This window comes from Homo sapiens, chromosome 22 (genome assembly GCF_000001405.40).
Source record: "Homo sapiens chromosome 22, GRCh38.p14 Primary Assembly".
In the NCBI taxonomy this organism is placed as follows: domain Eukaryota; kingdom Metazoa; phylum Chordata; class Mammalia; order Primates; family Hominidae; genus Homo; species Homo sapiens.
The window spans coordinates 28,937,342-28,955,879 of record NC_000022.11 but is presented as its reverse complement, the minus strand read 5'-3'; the positions used below and the strand labels follow the sequence as shown (position 1 = coordinate 28,955,879).

At 42.3% G+C, this 18,538-nt stretch overlaps 1 protein-coding gene across 2 annotated transcripts in view, besides 1 other annotated feature; it reads right to left on the bottom strand.

Moving 5' to 3' along the window:
• ZNRF3 (zinc and ring finger 3) overlaps nucleotides 1-18,538 on the bottom strand; it is a 173,917-nt gene that overhangs the window by 101,609 nt on the left and 53,770 nt on the right. The gene's annotated exons all lie outside the window — the stretch shown is intronic.
• Nucleotides 15,873-16,374: an enhancer, noted in NCBI's record as "NANOG hESC enhancer chr22:29335494-29335995 (GRCh37/hg19 assembly coordinates)". NCBI's record gives its function as "activates a minimal SCP1, AML or CMV promoter by ChIP-STARR-seq in naive H9 embryonic stem cells {active_cell/tissue: H9 hESC(naive)}" and the evidence as "EXISTENCE:reporter gene assay evidence [ECO:0000049][PMID:30033119]".

Sequence of the window (18,538 nt, the reverse complement as noted above, 5' to 3'; positions counted from 1 at the left end):
TGATGTGAACCTGGCTCACTGCAGCCCGGACCTCCTGGGTTCAAGTGATCATCCCACCTAGGCCTCCCAAGTAGCTGGAACCACAGGCACGAGCCACCATGCCTGGCTCTTTTTTTTTTTTTTAATAGAGACAGGGTCTCGCTATGTTGCCCAGGTTGGTCTTGAACTCCTGGGCTCAGGTGATCCTCCCACCTCAGCCTCCCAAAACATATGGTTTTCCAACGTCTTTAGTAGTAAAAGTCCTTCCCATAATCCAAACCTTAAGTAACACTTCAGTGCGTGAGACCAACCAAAGCACAGCTATGCTGAGTGAGGATGCTGCTCCACAAAACATGATCCAAAAACTATACACCACATTCATGTTTCCCAGAGGGTAGGCCAGGAGTCCACTGCTGATCCACAGAGGCTGCAAGGTGGTACACAGGAGGACTTTTTAAAACAACAGACATTTATTCATTTTAACATGGGTTGGAAAAACATAACTAGCACAAACTCTTGATAATATTTCCTTTAAAAAACTACCATTTTAAAGGGGCTCAGCATGGTGGCTCATCCCCATAATCCCAGCATTTTGGAAGGCTGGTGAAGGAGGATCACTTGAGTGATCCCAGGAGTTCAAGGCCAGCCTGGGCAACACACCAAGACTCCATCGCTACAAAACATTTTAAAAAATTAGCTGGGTGTGGTGGCACGTGCCTGTAGACCCAGCTACTCCAGAGGGTGAGGCAGGAGGATCATTTGAGCCCAGGAGGTCAAAGCTGCAGTGAGCCATGATTGCACCACTGTACTCCAGCCTGGGCGACAGAACAAGACCTTGTCTCAAAAAAAAAAAACAAAAAAAAAAAAACACCAAAAATACCATTTTCCACCAAACCTGTGATGCCATCAGCCATTATATCTTTTAGTGGACAAGAAAAAAATTAAACCAGGACATTTCACAGATTTTAAGATATTATCCCACAGTGCCCAGCATATGGTGGCTCACGCCTGTAATCCCAGCACTGTGGGAGGACAAGGTGGGAGAATCCCTTGAGCCCAGGAATTCAAGGCCAGCCTGGGCAACACGGTGAAACCCTGTCTCTATAAAACATACAAAAATTAGTTGGGCATGGTGGCACACACCTGTAGTCCCAGCTACTCAGGAGGATTGCTAGAGCCCAGGAGGTAGAGGCTGTGGTGAGCCATGGTCATGGACTGCACTCCAGCCTGGTCAACAGAGTGACTCAAAAAAAAAAGACATTCTAATTTCAGAGATGATATACAAAAACAAGAAAAGCATCCAAGAATCAACAAGATAAGTTATTCCTGTTTTAAAAACTGTCACTTTTAAAGAAAAACACTAAATAAATGACTGCTGTGGACTGAATTGGGTCTCCCCAAAAGTCATATTTTGAAGCCCTAACTCCCCCAATATGCACTTGGAGATGCGTGGGGTCTTTGGGAGGTAATTAAGATTAGATAAGGTCCTGAGGGCAGGGCCATCATGATGAGATTAGTACCCTTCTAAGAAGAGATGCCAGAGAGCTTGCTCACTCACTCACACTTTCTTCGCCACAGGAGGATACAGCAAGAAGACAGCTCTGTGAGCCAGGAAGAGGGCCCTCACCAGAACCCGACCATGCTGGCACCCTGATCTCAGACTTCCAGCACCTAGAACTATGAGAAATAAATGTCTGTTTAACCACACAGTCCATGGTATTTTGTTACAGCAGCCTGTGCTGACCAAGACAATGACTACACAGCTGGCACGCAGATATGGCAGAAACTGTGAAGGTCCTAAGAATGAAGAAGTCATGAAAAAAAACACACACAGAGTGAGCCGTGTGCCAGGCCCTGTCCTAGGTGCTTTATATACATGGACATATTTAATCTTAAAAACAACCCTATGGTGTGGAACCACAATCGCCCCATTTTCAGAGCAATCAATGGCAGTCAATGGCAGTGGGTGACCTGTCCAGTGTCACATACAAATAAGTGCCAAGGTGAAAATTCCAGCCTAGCACAAGGCCCACAGGTCCCAGGTCCCTATTCTGAAGCACAATGCTACATGGCCTCTCCAGAGTACTCCAGGTAAAACCATGGGAAACTGCCAATATCCAACAATTTCTGATCTACAAAAATGGCAAGGTCATAAGATTCAACCTAATATAAGTACCATTTGTAAAGTGTCTGATTAATGATTGATGCCTAACTGGCCTTAGAGAAATATCCTTTCAGGATATATGGGAACCTTGGTCGTTGATGGCATGTCACTAAGCTCAGTTGAAGCCCTGAAACTTGAAAGGTTCTAATGTTTAACTAAAGTCCCTTTCATGTTCTTTACTCATATTCCAGTCTCCAGAGTCAACTGAAGGACAAGAACACTTGGAGGAGAAAGAAGTCAACAGGAGAAACACAAGCACACTCTTTTCCTAAACTTCAGGGTTGGCCTCCAGGCGATTTTAAAGCAACTTAAGAGACAACTAATAATTCTCCAGATTGATTTCTCACAGGCTGTGGCCTCACAACTCTGTCAAGCAGTGGCTGAGGGGCTGGAGGAAAAGCCGTACCTAGAGTTGGCCGAGTACTCCTCAAGATGAATGATCTGGTTTAAAAACATGGAATAACAAGGGTATGGCTAGGATACGTTTTGAAAAGTAATTCCATATTAATGCACCCAAGAAACAGGAACCTTCACCTACCATGCCTTCCCTGCTAGCACCTGCACATAGCACTGCACGCTGCCTAGGGCCCTTGACACCCTGGTCTAATCCACACTCTAAGATGAATGGGGCCCCTGCAGTTATGCAACATGCTGGCTCCTCCTGCAAGTAAGTAGGGAAATATCTCAGGTTTCTAATAACACTGGGAAGATACCCAAAGAAGATCTGAAGTTAAGCAGAAACCTGATACACACTGTGATCATCACAAAGGCAGGCAAGGGAAAACCTGGATTTTAGAAAAATGCTGCCTTATCCTGAAACTTAACTCAAAAGACCTAATAGTCAAGGACTCTCCATAGGTTAATACTCCTGGCTCTCATACCAGCAGACTCAGACACAGGAACCTCTTTTATTTCTTTGTAACTTCCAAAGCTCATTCTCATTACCTAATATACCTTCATAAACTCCTAATTCCAGAGATGTTTTAAATACATTCGCAAACACATTCTTGCTTTTTAACTGTCAAAGCTCGACACCAGAAAAAAATTAACTCAAGCCAGAAGATTATCTTCATAAACATTATGTTCTTAATAGAAGCAAACTGCTCTTTTCTCTTAAGCAAAATAGAAAATAACGATGCAATACCTTTTATACTTGGCTTTCAAACTGTGAATGGGAACACTTTTCCAAAGTTGCTAATATACAAAAGAACCAAACAAAATGGTTAAAAAAAAAAAAAAAACATGGAAATGAAAAACTTCTCTCTGCTGAAAGAAACTGTTCTTTGTTGATAAAGGGAGGTTCAAACATATTTTAAATATTTTTAAACAAAGGCCTAGCTGATGTCCCTTAATCCAGCCAGCCAGCTCAACTTTCTGTGCAGGCAGCTGCTGCAGTGGAGCACCCGTCCAGAAGGGAGGGCCAGAGCATTTCCATAGCGTTCCACATTCCTGGGGGACATGGGACTTAGCAAGGTTAACAGCAATTTTCAACCTCCAATGCAAGTACAACAACATCTTCATAAAAGTTTTACAAGGACATCCTGGCAAGAACCAAACTATCACGAAGAGTAATGTTTTGGGGCCCTGAGCATTCCATCCAGCAGCTCGCTTTTCTTGGCCACTTCTCCTGGCTGTGTGGTGCAAACCAGCGGTCAGCTGGGAACCCGCAGGAGGGTCCCATGGAGAATGCACTCGGAGAAAAGAAAGCCAGATATACCCATGCTGGCTCAGTGCTCCTTGCTCCACGGGGAAGAGGAGCAAGTGGAGGCCAGCAGGATTTTAATACCTCTCATCAACACAGGGGAAGAGGTACATGCAAACGGGATGGGAGCAGGTACATGGAGTCGCCTATCTCTGAGTCCCTAAACCATCTCTATCCATCTTTCCAGAAAACACAGTCCTCAACCTTGCATTCTTCATTAGCGTGAGCAGTCACAGAGCACTGCTCTGAGGAGGAACCTTACATGGCAGGCGCACAGGTCACCCTGGGAGACCAGCCGTGGTGTGACCTGTAGAACAAAGGTCCAAGGTGAGCAAGAGAACCACAGGGCCATGGGAGACAGCAGTCAGCTTTGAGTTGGTATTCATTTCCCAGGGCTGCCTTAACGAACTACCATAAACTGGGTAAAAAAGAAATTTGTCATCTTGCAGTTGAGACTAGAAGTCCAAAATCAAGATGTCGACAGGGTTGATTCCTTATGGGGGCTATGAGGGAATCTGTTCCACACCTCTCCCCTAGCTTCTGGTGGGCTGCTGGCAGTCTTTGGTGTTTCTTGGCTTGTGGAATCATCACCCCAATCACTGCCTCCATCTTCACTTGGCACGTTCCTGGTGTGTGTGCATATGTCCAGATTTCCCCTTTTAATAAGGACACCAGTCATATTGGATTAGGGCCCACCCTGACGACCTTAATTGAACTTGATTACCTCCGTAAAGACTCAATCTCCAAAAAAGGTCGCATTCTGAGGTGCTGGGAGTTAGGGTTTCAACATATAAATTTGGGGGGACACAATTCAACCCAGAAGAGGGCCCTTAGGAGAACCACTAGTGGTTGAAAAAGGAAGGGCGCTATAAGAAGATATTAGCATTTTCATTCTTCAGTATCTCTTTCACACTAAATAACTACAGAAGCCAAAAGTCTATAATACCACAATAAAGGAATAAGTTAAATGAATAATTTTTTTAAGTGGGTAGAAAGATGTGGGAGAGAGAAACACAGGCAAGGTGCCATCACAGGGGGAAACAAGGAAAAATGAGGTGTAAAATGATACATTCATAGACTGTTTTGGCAGAGGCCTGTTGCCAGTAGCTATACAGTAGACTCTCAGAGTTTGGCAAGATATAAAAGAGGACAAGGCGCAAAATACATTAATGGCCCAGCTACGGCTTTAGATGGAGTCATAATTGGCTGGGAAACTGGGCTCACCTTACAATTCCATGAACTGCTAAGTTGGAGTCTCATGCCATTCAGTAAGGATTTACATGGCAAGAATGAGGTCATTGCCAGCCACTGGCCTGGGCCTGAACTAGACATCAGTCAAGCGTTCTAAGTATAAGGAGTATCCTCAGAAACAGAGATATGGAGGAAGGCCCTAAAGAGCCACTGTCTTTTTAAAACTCAAAACATGAAATAAGGGAAACAGCACATTTGCAAGGTAGGTGGTGAAGAGGTGCTTTTCTTGTTAGAAAGGAAAGGAAAGGAAGAAGAAAATGAGGAAGCAGTTTATTTTCAAAGGAGTCTCAGTGGTTAGTGCTTTGTGATTTTGCATATTGCTAAAGACTGGAAAGAACAACGCAACAAGGTACACAACACTATACACATTTTGCTGCTATCACCATGCAAGTTTATGCTACCAGTCTCAGACAACAGAGCAGCAAGCACCTTCAAAACAATTTTATCCCCATTTCCATTAAATGCTGTCTAGCCCAGTGGTTCTCATCCCATCTGCAAGCCCAGGGCAGGGGGCGGTGGGTGGAGGTTTGTCCTTCAACCTTTTCAGGTAATCTGTGAGGGCAAAACCATTTTTGTAATAACACAAAGACATTATTAGCCTTTTACAGTCTGCTGACATTTGCACTGATTCATGTACAAAAGCAGTGGTGGGAAAAACTGTTGCAAGAATTACAGCAGTGACACCAAACTGCACTCTTGATCATTGTATACTTGGAATTGAAATAAAAGTTTCCTTAAGAATGTTGATGAAGCAATGCAGATGAAGCAATAAAAACTATTAAGTTTATTAAATCTCAACCCTTGAGTACATTAAAAAAAAAATTCTGCGTGGCGAAATGGTTAAATACGCATAAAGCACTTCTGCTGCATACCAAAGCACAGTGGTTGCCTCAAGACAAAATACTTGTGTGATTGTTAGCTGTAAGCCAAACTAGTCAACTTTTTTCACGGAACACCATTTTTACTTAAACGAGTAACTGACCTTAAAGTACAGTTATATAGATGAGTGCAGGGCAGGCATTTTCTCAAAAAGGAATGAAATGAGACTAACACTTCAAGGAAACAATTGATAATATTTTTTGCCAATGATAAAACTTGAACTCTCAAGCAAAAATTAAACTTTTGGGAAATGTGTACCTATCACTATGAGTCTGACAGAATCCTGATACTTAGAGACTTTTCTGTTGGGAACAAATGTGAATTTTTGGCCGGGCACAGTGGTGCACGCTTAATCCCAGCACTTTGTGGGGTCAAGGTGGAAAGATTGCTTGAGCTCAGGAGTTTTGAGACCAGCCTGGGCAACATGGTGAAACCCCATCAGTATAAAAAAAAAATAAAAAAATATAGCTGGTCACAGTGGCATGCAGCTAAAGCCCTAGACACTTGGAGGCTGAGGTGGAAGGATCACTTGAGTCTAGGAGGTAGAGGCTGCAGTGAGCCTAGCTCATGCCACTGCCTTCCAGCCTGGGCAACAGAGTCAGACCCTGACTCAAAAATAAATAAATAGGCTGGGTGCTGTGGCTCACACCTGTAATCCCAGCACTTTGGGAAGCCGAGGCAGATGGATCACCTGAGGTCAGGAGTTCGAGACCAGCCTGACCAACATGGTGAAACCCGTCTCTACTAAAAATACAAAATTAGCTGGGCGTGGTGGCGCGTGCCTGTAATTCCAGCTACTCATGAGGGTGAGGCAAGAGAATTGATTGAACCCGGAAGGCAGAGGTTGCAGTGAGCCGAGATCACGCCATTGCACTCCAGCCTGGGCAACAGGAGCGAAACTCCACCTCAAAAATAATTAATTAATTAATTAAATGTGAATTTTTAAGTACTGTATAATGAAATGTTAGTATTTGGAAGAGCTACATGACTAAGTGAATCAATATTTTCTAAATGACCAATGCATGAGATGATAATACAAAATCATTCATTAGTAAAAGATCCATTCAAAATGCAACAGAGACCAATAGATTTCAAAGTGAAACAGTAGGAATAGTTCATTGACATGGTTTCAGATTCTACATTGCAACTAATCTTTCAGAAACTACCTCTTGTCCAGTTTAGATATAGTATCAAAGAATACTCATAATTACTAATATCTTAACAGGCTATAAAATACTCCTCCCTTTTCCAACTACATATCTGTGTAAGGCTAGATTTTCTTAGTTATACTTCAACCAAAGCATATTGCAACAGACTAGGTACGGAAGTGGATGCAAGAATCCAACTGTCTTACTAAGCCAGGCATTAAAGAGATTTGCAAATATATAAAACAAGGCCATTTTTCTCACTATATTTTCTAAAACAAAAAGATATTTTAGGCCAGGCTTGCTGGGCCAACACCTGTAATCCCAGCACTTTGGGAGGCCAAGGTGGGAGGATCACTTGAAGCCAAGAGTTCGAGACCACCCTAGGCAGCAAAGCAAGACTCGGTCTCTACAAAAATTTTTTTTAAATAGCCAGGCATGGTGGCACATGCCTGTAGTCCCAGCTACTTGGGAGGCTAAGGCAGCAGGATCACTTGAGCCCAGGAATTCAAGGCTGCATGGAGCTATGATTGTGCCACTGCACTCCAGTCTAGGCGACAGAGCAGGACCACATCTTTTTTAAAAAAATTTTTTTTTAAATAAAAAACGTTATTTGTAGCCAGGCGCAGTGGCTCACACCTGTAATCCCAGCACTTTGGGAGGCCAAGGTGGGCGGATCAGAAGGTCAAGAGATTGAGACCATCCTGACCAACACGGTGAAACCCCGTCTCTACTAAAAATACAAAAATTAGCTGGGTGTGGTGGCACACGCCTGTAGTCCCAGCTACTTGGTAGGCTGAGGCAGGAGAATCACTTGGACCCAGGAGGCGGAGATTGCAGTGAGTCGAGATCACGCCACTGCACTCCAACCTGGTGACAGAGCAATACTCCATCTCAAAAAAAAAAGTTATTTTTGTTAACATGTAATGTGTTTTTAACCATTCTTAAATGAATTTTAAATGTTTGATTCTAACTTCTCAGATGGCAAATCTCTTTGTGATCCAACACTTTAAAAGTGTAACTACCCTTATGATTCAATAACAAAATGAGTAACCCAATTGAAATGGACAAATGATCTAAACAGGCATTTCTCCAAAGAAGGTATATGAATGGCCAATAAGTACATGAAAAGATGCTCAACGTCATTAGGCATGAGGGAAGTGCAAACCAAAACCACAATGAGATATCACTTCATACCTGCTAATATAGGATGGCCATAATAAAAAGAATATAAATAATAACAAGTATTAGAGAGGGTATGGAGAAATTAGAATCCTCATACACTACTGATGGGAAATGTAAAATGGTATAGATATGTTGGAAAACAGTCTGGCAATTCCTCAAGACATGAAACAGAGTGGCAAATATGACCCAGCAATTCCGCTCCTAAGTATATACCCAAGAGAAATGAAAACATGTCCATAAGCTGTACATGAACATTCATAGCAGCATTGTTCATAATAAACAGAGTGAAAACAACCCAAATGCCTACTGACTGAAGAGTGGATACATAAAATGTGGTATATCCACACAATGAAATACTACTCAGTAATACATGGCTGATAGCAAGTTATCAGTGGAAGAAAATTCTATCTACCTGTGCATTCCCATATGTGCTTATTTAAAGGATTCAAAATAAAGTGTTAAAAGACTAAACCAACTTAAGAGAACCAACTCTACCCTCACTAGTCTCTCCCAAATGATGAGCCCAATAGAAGTGCAGCATTCTAGTTTTACCCATATTCCAACATTTTGAACTACCCTCTCAATACCTGCCCAAGATATGGCTGCTATATTTCTCTTCTCCCCATTCTTACAGGTTTCCCAAGCAATTGTTGACAGTGAAGGCTGAGGAAGCGTAAGGCCTGTCAGGTTGTGATCTCATAGCTACTCACCTCCTCACTCAACCAACCTCATGGTCAAGTACTCCTCAACAGAGACCATAGATCTTTCAACTATCAACAGCCATCACCAGCTACTGCCAAACACAAATGAAACCCACTCCCCAGTCCCCAGAACACCCTCCTCCCACTCTGATGCTCCTAGACAAACTGTTCATAGAACCATCATCTGCTAACACTTCTCATTCTTCCCAAATTACAAACATTTCCAAATAAAGATGGCATCCATAACTAGTGATTTCAACCACCATCAAACAGAAAGCTCCCAAGTCCCTTGCCATTCGTCCGTATTTAGTAAATGGACGGTCTACCTGGACTTTCTCATAAACAACCAGTCCAAACACCAATTCCCAAATACTAGTAAGTCATTTTGAAGTCAGGCATCATTACATGATTACAGAAGGATGACACATTATTGTACTGAGTTCCTGCTAAGCGATATAACTTCCTTCAGATAACACTGCAACTTAAAAACCCCAAAGCCATCTCTCACACAAAGAAAAAAGGGGGCTTTAATTTTAAAAAGCACAAACCCACAAACACATTCTAACAACAACAAGAAGAAACACAGAGAAAAGTCATTGTCTTGGTTCATCTATTAAGTCCTTAGCTTTAGACAAAATATTCTCAAAATAATTTTCGGGGGGTGAAGAGTCAATTAAAACAAAAGTTTTCTCAACTTATAAAACTACAGGCTGGGGTGTCCCTTATCCGAAATGCTTGGGACCAGATCCTCAAATATTTGCATTATACGGACCAGTTGAGCATCCCTAATCTGAAAATCTGAAATGCTCCAATGAGCATTGCCTTTGAGCATGTCAGCACTCAAACAGTTTCAGATTTTGAAGCATTTCAAATTTCAGATTTTCAGATTAAGGATACACAATCTGTGATACCTGACCACTGAAGAACTTGGAATATGAAGAAAATGAAAGCACTAAAAATCCCATTACCAAAGAGACAGATTGTGGATAGAATTTCATTCTTTTTCTGTGTATGCCACACAATTCTTTTTTTTTAAATAGAGATGGGGCCGGGCACAGTGGCTCATGCCTATAATCCCAGCACTTCAGGAGGCCGAGGCGGGCAGATCACGAGGTCAAGAGATCGAGACCATCCTGGCCAACATGGTGAAACCCCGTCTCTACTAAAAGTACAAAAATTAGCTCAGCGTGGTGGTGCCCCCCTGTAGTCTCAGCTACTCAGGAGGCTGAGGCAGAAGAATCGCTTAAACTCGAGAGGTGGAGGTTGCAGTGAGCCAAGATCGCACCACTGCACTCCAGCCTGGCCACAGAGCAAGACTCCGTCTTAAAAAAGAAAAAAAAAAAAAAATAGAGACGGGTTTTGCCATGTTGCCCAGGCTGGTCTTGAACTCCTGGGCTCAAGCCATCCACCCTCCTTGGCCTCTCCAAGTGCTGGGATTACAGGTGTGAGCCACCGTGCCCGGTCCTTCTTTTTAAATTACGATCATATGACACATTGCTTAATATTCTGCTTTTTTCACTTATGAGCATTTTCCCCTGACATTAAGTATCCTCAAACAATCTAGATGTCTGCACAGTACTCTACTATAAGAACAAAAATATTATCATTTAGCTAGCCCTTTATTGTTAGATATTGTTAGTAATTTTCTATTACGAATAACATGTTAGTGAACATCCTTACCTGTAAGTCTTGAGATACACATCTTTGACTTTTTTTTTTTTTTTGAGACAGGGTCTCATTCTGTTGCTAGCTGGTCTTGAGCTCTTGAGCTCAAGTGATCCACCCACCTCAGCCTCCCAAAGTGCTGGGATTACAGGCATAAGCCACTGCACGCAGCCCATCTTAAACTTTTTTTAAGGATAAACTCCTAGAAGAAAAACTGTTGAGTCAAGGAGTATGAGTATTATTATTATTTATTTATTTATTTATTTATTTATTTATTTATTTGGAGACGGAGTCTCGCTCTGTTGCCCAGGCTGGGGTGCAGTGGCACGATCTTGACTCACTGCAACCTCCACCTCTTGAGTTCAAGCAATTCTCCTGCCTCAGCCTCCAGAGTAGCTGGGACTACAGGTGTGTGCCACCATACCCCCGCTAATCTTTTTTTTTTTTTTTTTTTGAGATGGAGTCTCGCTTTGTCACCTAGGCTGGAGTGCAATGGCACAATCTTGGCTCACTGCAACCTCTGCCTCCTGGGTTCAAGTGATTCTCCTTCCTCAGCCTCCTGAGTAGCTGGGACTACAGGCGTGCGCCACCACGCCCGGCTAATTTTTATATTTTTAGTAGAGACAGGGTTTCGCCATGTTGGCCAGGCTGGTCTCGAACTCCTGAGCTCAAATGATCCACCTGCCTCGGCCTCCCAGAGTGCTGGGATTACAGGCGTGAGCCACCGCACCCGGCATTTTTCATATTTTCAGTAGAGACGGGGTTTCACCATGTTAGCCAGGATGGTCTCAATCTCCTGACCTCGTGATCCGCCCGCCTCAGCCTCCCAAAGTGCTAGGATTACAGGTGTGAGCCACTGCACTCAGCCAAAGTAGTAAGTTTATATAATGAAATCTTTAAGTAGCTCTCCTCTAAACTGTGAAGACTTAGAAAAAAAAAATGTTCCCCCAAAGACTATATAATCAAACAAAACAAAGTGCTGGGATTACAGGTGTGAGCCACTGCACCTAGCCGGGGTATGAGTATTTTTAAGACTCTTGATACATTGTACTGCTACAAGCCACCCTCCCCACCAGCAGTGTGTAAATATCTATTTTCTTGTATCTTTTTATAAAAATGATTGCTAATTTTATTTTAGACTCTCCTCTTTGGGTAGCTTTAAAAATGGCTTTTTTTTTTTTCCTTTTTGGCCTTAATCCGGGGTTCTTTTGGAATTCTTGCTGTCCCACAATGTCCTTGTCCCTAATTTGTCCAAGGCAAATCCACCGAGCTAAACAGAAATGCACAAACTAGTTACACACGGAACATCATAAGCTGTCCATGCAAAATAAGAGCCACATGTCCAGGAATACTGCTACTTTAAATAAAACAAAAACTTAATGCTTTGGGAGAAAATAAATGTGTTAAAATGTGTGGAGATTTAGGTAATTTGGCAATTCTCAGAGCTCAGATTACACCAGGAAACAAGTTTAGTGCCAACACACAAACACTTGGAAAGTGTAAAGAGGAACAAATGGCACCCCTCCCCCCCCATGTGTGTTAATCACATTATAATAAAAATGAGAAGTAAATCAAGTAGCTTCAGTAACCACCACAGCATCTACTTCAAAATTAGCTCACAACTAGGACAACCCTATGAACTTAAAACTGTTTGATTCGGCACTAATATCCCCGCCACACATAAACACACATGCACCCTCTCCAAACCTCATATTTTAGAGAGAGAAAACACAGGCTGAGGGACGCTGGGAACCCTAAAAGAAATGTGCTAACAGCAGGCCTCTACCCCCAGCCTGGTAAATCTCTCATCTATAATCCAACATGAGAGACAACAGGCAAACAGCAAGAGGTCATCGTCAAAGGATCGGTTGCTAAGGGAAGCAAGTGTAGAGGCAGCAAGCATGTCCCCATCAAAGTCCAGCAGCTGCAGAAGAACCACAAAGGTACAGCTCCCTTCAGACCGGAGCAAGAATGGGGCAGGGGGAGGCACTGGGGGAGGACCCCCGGGGGAGGGGAGACAGAAGGAGGAGGAGGGACAGAGAGAAAAACATCAGACCAGCAGCAGCTGCCCAGTGGAACATAAAACCTGGTAGTTTTGCACTGTTCAACAAGGGGGAAATAGGGTAAAGAAGAAACACTTAAAATAGCATTTTCTGAACATACCTTTTAAGTGCTAGTCAAATCTTTCAACATACCTGCAAGATGGTCAGATAAAGCCCACAGCTCTGGAAATAGCAGCCATTAGTGATAAAAGGGGAAAGTACCAGCTTTAAGGACATCTTAGTACGCATACAATCCTGTCTCGGTAAAAAAATCTCTAAATCCTTAGTCCAAAATGTCTACATCCCAAAAGGGCAACACCAATCACACAGAAGAGGAGACTTATCACTGGTTCACAGAATCTAAATAGGGGAATCTGAGGGCACCTCTTAATTTGAGTAGAAGCTGCTCTCATTTTTCCAGTTGAAAGACACAAGGGTCAATAGAGTTTGCAGCTCTTAAGTGGACACCTCAAACAGTCTCTTTCACATCTGAGATCTCTAACCTCAGACGTAGCACGGACCCCTAAGAATCATACAGGATTCCAGGGTAAGAGACCGCTAGAGAATCAAATTCCACTCTCTCGCTCTGGAGAAAGATCTTGGGATACACTAAGAGACTTGCCCGAGGTCACTCAGCTAATCTGGAGCCCAGGTAGTCTCCCAACTCCCAGGCCAAAGTTCTTTCTACTGACAAGCTACAACTATGAAGGTCTAGGGACAAGAAGGAAAGGGGCTAAAAGCTTGCATTTGTCACTTAGTTTCTGGTTGCTACCAAGGCTTGATGTGCTATATGAAAGGGCCAGGTCTTTTTTCTTGTCCAAAAAAAGAACAGTCCGCCTGTTGGTTTTAGTAGGTTTTCAGAGAAGTCAGGCTATCAGGCAGTTGGGCACATCTGTGCAGCCTCATCCAGGCTCTCTGCATCGGCATCGCGTCACATCACATAGCTTCAGACAAGCTTTGTTGAGAAACTTCAGATCCTCAAAGAAAGTATGATTTGCTCAAAATTATTTCCTAAAACAGGTGAGAGGTTCACCGGGCTAGAGGTACACATTTGGCTTCAGGCCTGAAACTGCATCAAAGAACCACATCCCATGTGCAGGACAAAACTAAAATGGCACCAGAAATTTCTTCCAGACTAAACCTCAGAAGTCGAAGACTTATGCAGTCTGGTTTGTGTTTGTTTTTGTTGTTGTTGTTGTTGTTTTGTTTTTGAGACAGAGTTTAGCTCTTGTTGCCCAGGCTGGAGTGCAATGGCACGATCTCTGCTCACTGCGACCTCCGCCTCCCGGGTTCAAGAGATTCTCCCACCTCAGCCTCCCCTTCCACCTCCCGGGTTCAAGAGATTCTCCCACCTCAGCCTCCCGAGTAGCTGGGATTACAGGCATGCGCCACCACGCCCAGCTAATTTTTGTATTTTTAGTAGAGACAGGCTTTCACCATGCTGGTCACTTGAGGACTTTGGGCCTCAAGTGACCCACCCGCCTCAGCCTCCCAAAGTGCTCGGATTACAGGTGTGAGCCATGGTGCCCAGTTGAGCAGTCTGTTTTTAATGAATGGGTCTGTCTTCACCACATTTTGCAGATATAAAACATCCCAGGTTAGAAACAAAAATAAAACAACATTTTACTGGCTCTTCAATAGGCCAAGATTTTATCTATATTTGTCCTCAGCCAAGTGGAAAAGAGAAAAGGAAAACGAGAAATTTTAAAAAATAAAAGTAATAAAGTCATCTTATTTTATCAGTTTGGTAAGCTTAGAATTGCATATGTAGGATTTTAGTAGTGACAATTAGGGTGAAGCTGAAATTGAATTTCTAAAATGAAAAATAAATAAATTAGTTAAATTAAGACCAAAAACCTTCTCTGAATTCAAATCAATAAAAATACAAATTTGCACTACTCCAGATGACTTACAGCCACGCATCTAATAAACAAGCAGGTGCACCCAGGCACATGCAAAGGACTCTTGATTTCCCTCCCTGGCTGCCACCACCACCACCGGCATCTAAGCCAACCATTTTTGCAGTGATAGGATTTCCAAGTCCCCTACCCTACTCTTCTCATTTTAATGCCAGAGGAAAATAAAAGTATGAGGAGAGACATAGGTACTTATTTACATGAAGAAAGATTTCCTACAGCCCTTTTGCTTCTGTCACTAAACATGCCAGAGAACTGACGTCCAAAAAGGGGGAGGAAAAAAAAAGGGAATCAGGAGGGTGATCAAAGTGCTTAAAATGGAACAACTGTCCATAAAATGAACAACCTCCATGAAATAAATTTCTGTAACATTTTGGTCATTTTATAAATTTTTTTCTGGGTGGGGGTGCTGAAACCATCAGGCTTCTGGCTGCAATAGTAAATTACGGAGGAGAGTAAATCCCTACTGGTTCGTCTCTTTTACAGTTCACACCCAGAAATTAATTTTAAAAGATCCAACCCAACCCCCTATCCAAAGAATCAGACTCACTCCTGCCCTTTGAACCTTCTGAAGGTTGAGGAGGAAGACCTCCGTGGCCCCAGGTCAGGCGCTGCAGCCTCTGAAGGGGAGGGCAAGAGCCTCTGAATGACCAGATTAAGTGTGAATGGAAGAAGAACCTGTGATTAAGTTTTCTAAATCGTTGGCTCTCTTAAGAGGGAGCAATCTCCTATTTAAGAAAAAAAAAAAAAAAAAGCAGAAACCTAGTGTGGCTCTGTAACTGCCCTCCAAAAAGAATCCTGCTCTTCAAATCTAGGAGAGTAGATTTTCACATACTCTAACAAGTTTAGCTGATTTTCCAGAAGGAGAAAAAAAATAACACTGCCATACCTCTCAAGATTACTATTTAGACAGTTCAGGTTGACATGGAACATGGTTTAACTACCAATCTTTCTAGGACGAACTCAGAAACTTATTAAGAAACTAGCCTTTCCCTTAATTCATTTAGCCTTGTCTTCAACCAAAACTTCTTTACAGTATTATTCCAATTTCACTGGCCCAGAATCCCTGCCAGAATGCTCCCTCCTCTAAGCACGAGCAGGAAAGGAAAAGAATGGGCAGCATTTTCTCTAACCTGTGGCAGTCTGGTAAGAATTGCCCTGGCTACACAAGACATAGGCCTGCTGAGGTTTTGTTCTGCTTTTCTAAGTTGGGGGAAAATATCAACATAAATCTTTCCTCACAGTGAAAGACCTGAGGATTAAGTTAATTCATAATGAGGACTACTCATATATCAAGATATAATTCATTAAAAATCTTTTTGAATAAAATGCTCAATGGCCCTTCTATGTTAAAACTCAAGTTTGGGTGTCAAAGGCTAACGTCTAAAAAACCAGTGGGGGAAGGATGGTTGGAAGAGGTGAAAAAAACTCTTCAAAAACCATAACATGTAAGCTCCACCTGACTTGGGGTGTAGGATGTGAACCCTTTCTACAGCATCTGGTTCTACAACTAATATTTAATGTGCTTCCATTAAATTGCAGGGGACACAAGAATGAAAGGCACAGATTCTGCCCTCCGAGAAACAGTACTTGCAGAGGAGAGACGGCACAAACAGGATAACATGTAAATGGGAGTGAGGCCCATTAAGAGAATGCTCTGAGGATGCAAAGACTGAGGGCACAGGGGATTTCAGGGAGGGCTTCAGGATTTGGTCTTAGAGATAAAAGACCGGGGGATTTCGTTCTGTCCTTGTTTCTATCCGGAACTTTCCAAGGACTTTTAAAGGCAGGTTTCAACTCAGCAACTGATGTGGCAGAGATTATACGTTTATGCTAAATATACTAAACACATTATATGTACATATTTACTAAACACAACAATAGCTACTTCTTATATGTATTTATTTAATCTTAACCCTAACAAACATATGAAGTATATTTTGAGGTTTTGTTTTTTTTTTTTTTTTGAGATAGAGCCTCACTCTGTTGCCCAGGCTGGAGTGCAGTGGCACAATCTTGGCTCACTGCTACCTCCGCCTCCCAAATTCAAGAGATTATCCTGCCTCAGCCTCCCAAGTAGCTGGGATTACAGGCACATACCACTATCCCAGCTAATTTTGGTATTATTAGTAAAGACGGAGTTTTGCCATGTTGGCCAGGCTGGTCTCAAACTCCTGGCCTCAAGCGATCTGCTAGCCTTGGCCTCCCAAAGTGCTGGGATTACAGGCATGAGCCACCGTGCCTGGCCTATTTTGAGATATTAATACCAAAAACTCAGAGAGGTTAAATGCCTTATCTAGAGTCACACAGCTAAACAGTAATATTCAGAATTAGAACTCGGGTCTGATTGCCAAATCTGATGCTATACTTCCATCTGTTCTGCCATGGTTCCAAGCACATGCCTTACTTCTAGTGGATTTTTTAAGGTATCCGAAACCCATCTTACATCTTACAAACTCTAATGTAATACTTATCACATAATCATTTGTTTTATATATACATCTCCCCTCAGCTATAAGACTGTGAGTTCCCTAAGCATACCCTTCACCTTCATATTCTGGCACTAGGTGTGGCACTCAGGAAGACTCCATAAACCAAGCAATGTTCACCCTAAGCTGAACAGCTCATGTCACCCAAAGTACCAGAGACAGCCTGCTTCAGCTAGAAAGTCGTCAAAAGTTTTTGCTCACTTAACCTCCCTGACCCTCAGTTTCCTCATCTGTTAACAGGGATAATGATACCTATGAGTAAGACTGTTTTGATAACTAGGTTAGATAATACACGCTAAGTGCTTGGCAGTGCCTAGAATACGCTAAGTACTCCACAAAGGAGGGCAAATAATCTCTAACCTCCACTTTAAGATAAAAGGGAGGTGTGCCAGACCTCACCTTTAATCTGCTAGATTAAAATAGATAAGATATATTTAAAAGGGTGTAAAACAATGTGTTGTCCATTAAAAATAATGGTGCAGATCTAGGTATACTGAAAAAAAAAAGCTTTCAAGACATATTTAAATGAAAAAAGCATGTCTTAAAATAAGATGGATGGGTGTGTGTGCATAATTACATGTGTATATAAATATATAAAAAATACTCTGAAATATATAGGAAGTGGGATGGTAGGAGTGAAGAGGCACTCTGTCATTATGTATTTCTGATATTTGAATCCTATGAAAATACATTCATGTATTTTCAATAAAAGCAGTAACAATGTGGAGTTAACAGTAATGTATCAATGTTGGCTCCTTTGTTCTGACAAATGTTCCATAATAGTGTAAGATATTAACAGTAAGAGAAACTGGGTGCTGGGTATACAGGAGCCCTCTGTTCTATCTTTGCAACTTTTCCACAAATCTAAAACTATTCCAAAAGAAAGAAGGTTGTTTTTTTAAAAAGCAACGCTATGTACAGCACAAAACTATCATTGTTTTTAAAAATATGTCCACATATGTATGAATATATTCATTATACCCTAAAATGTTAACAGTGGTTCTCTCCCGAGTGGTAAGACTGAAGACGATGTTCATTTCCTTGTACCTTCTAGATCAGTGGTTCTCAAAGGGTGGTTGCCAGGTCAGCTGCAGTAGCAGCAGCATCTGGGAACTTGTTAGAAATGCAGATTCTCAGGCCCCACCCCAAAGCTACTGATCAGACACTCTAGAGGTGGGGCAGATGATTCTGATAGATGCAAGTTTGAGAACACGGTTCTAGATCACAGAAACTGGTTTTGTAACAAGTGCCACTTTTATAGTCACAATAATAGAACAATGAAACTTGCAAAAGGGGTCAGTATGTTGATGGATGAACAGCATTTTAAGAGCCAACACATGCCCAAACACAGTACGTGCACCAGGAGGCAGGCGCAGTCTAGTTCAAGCTCACACTGACCTGTTCTGTCCAGTCCCCAGCC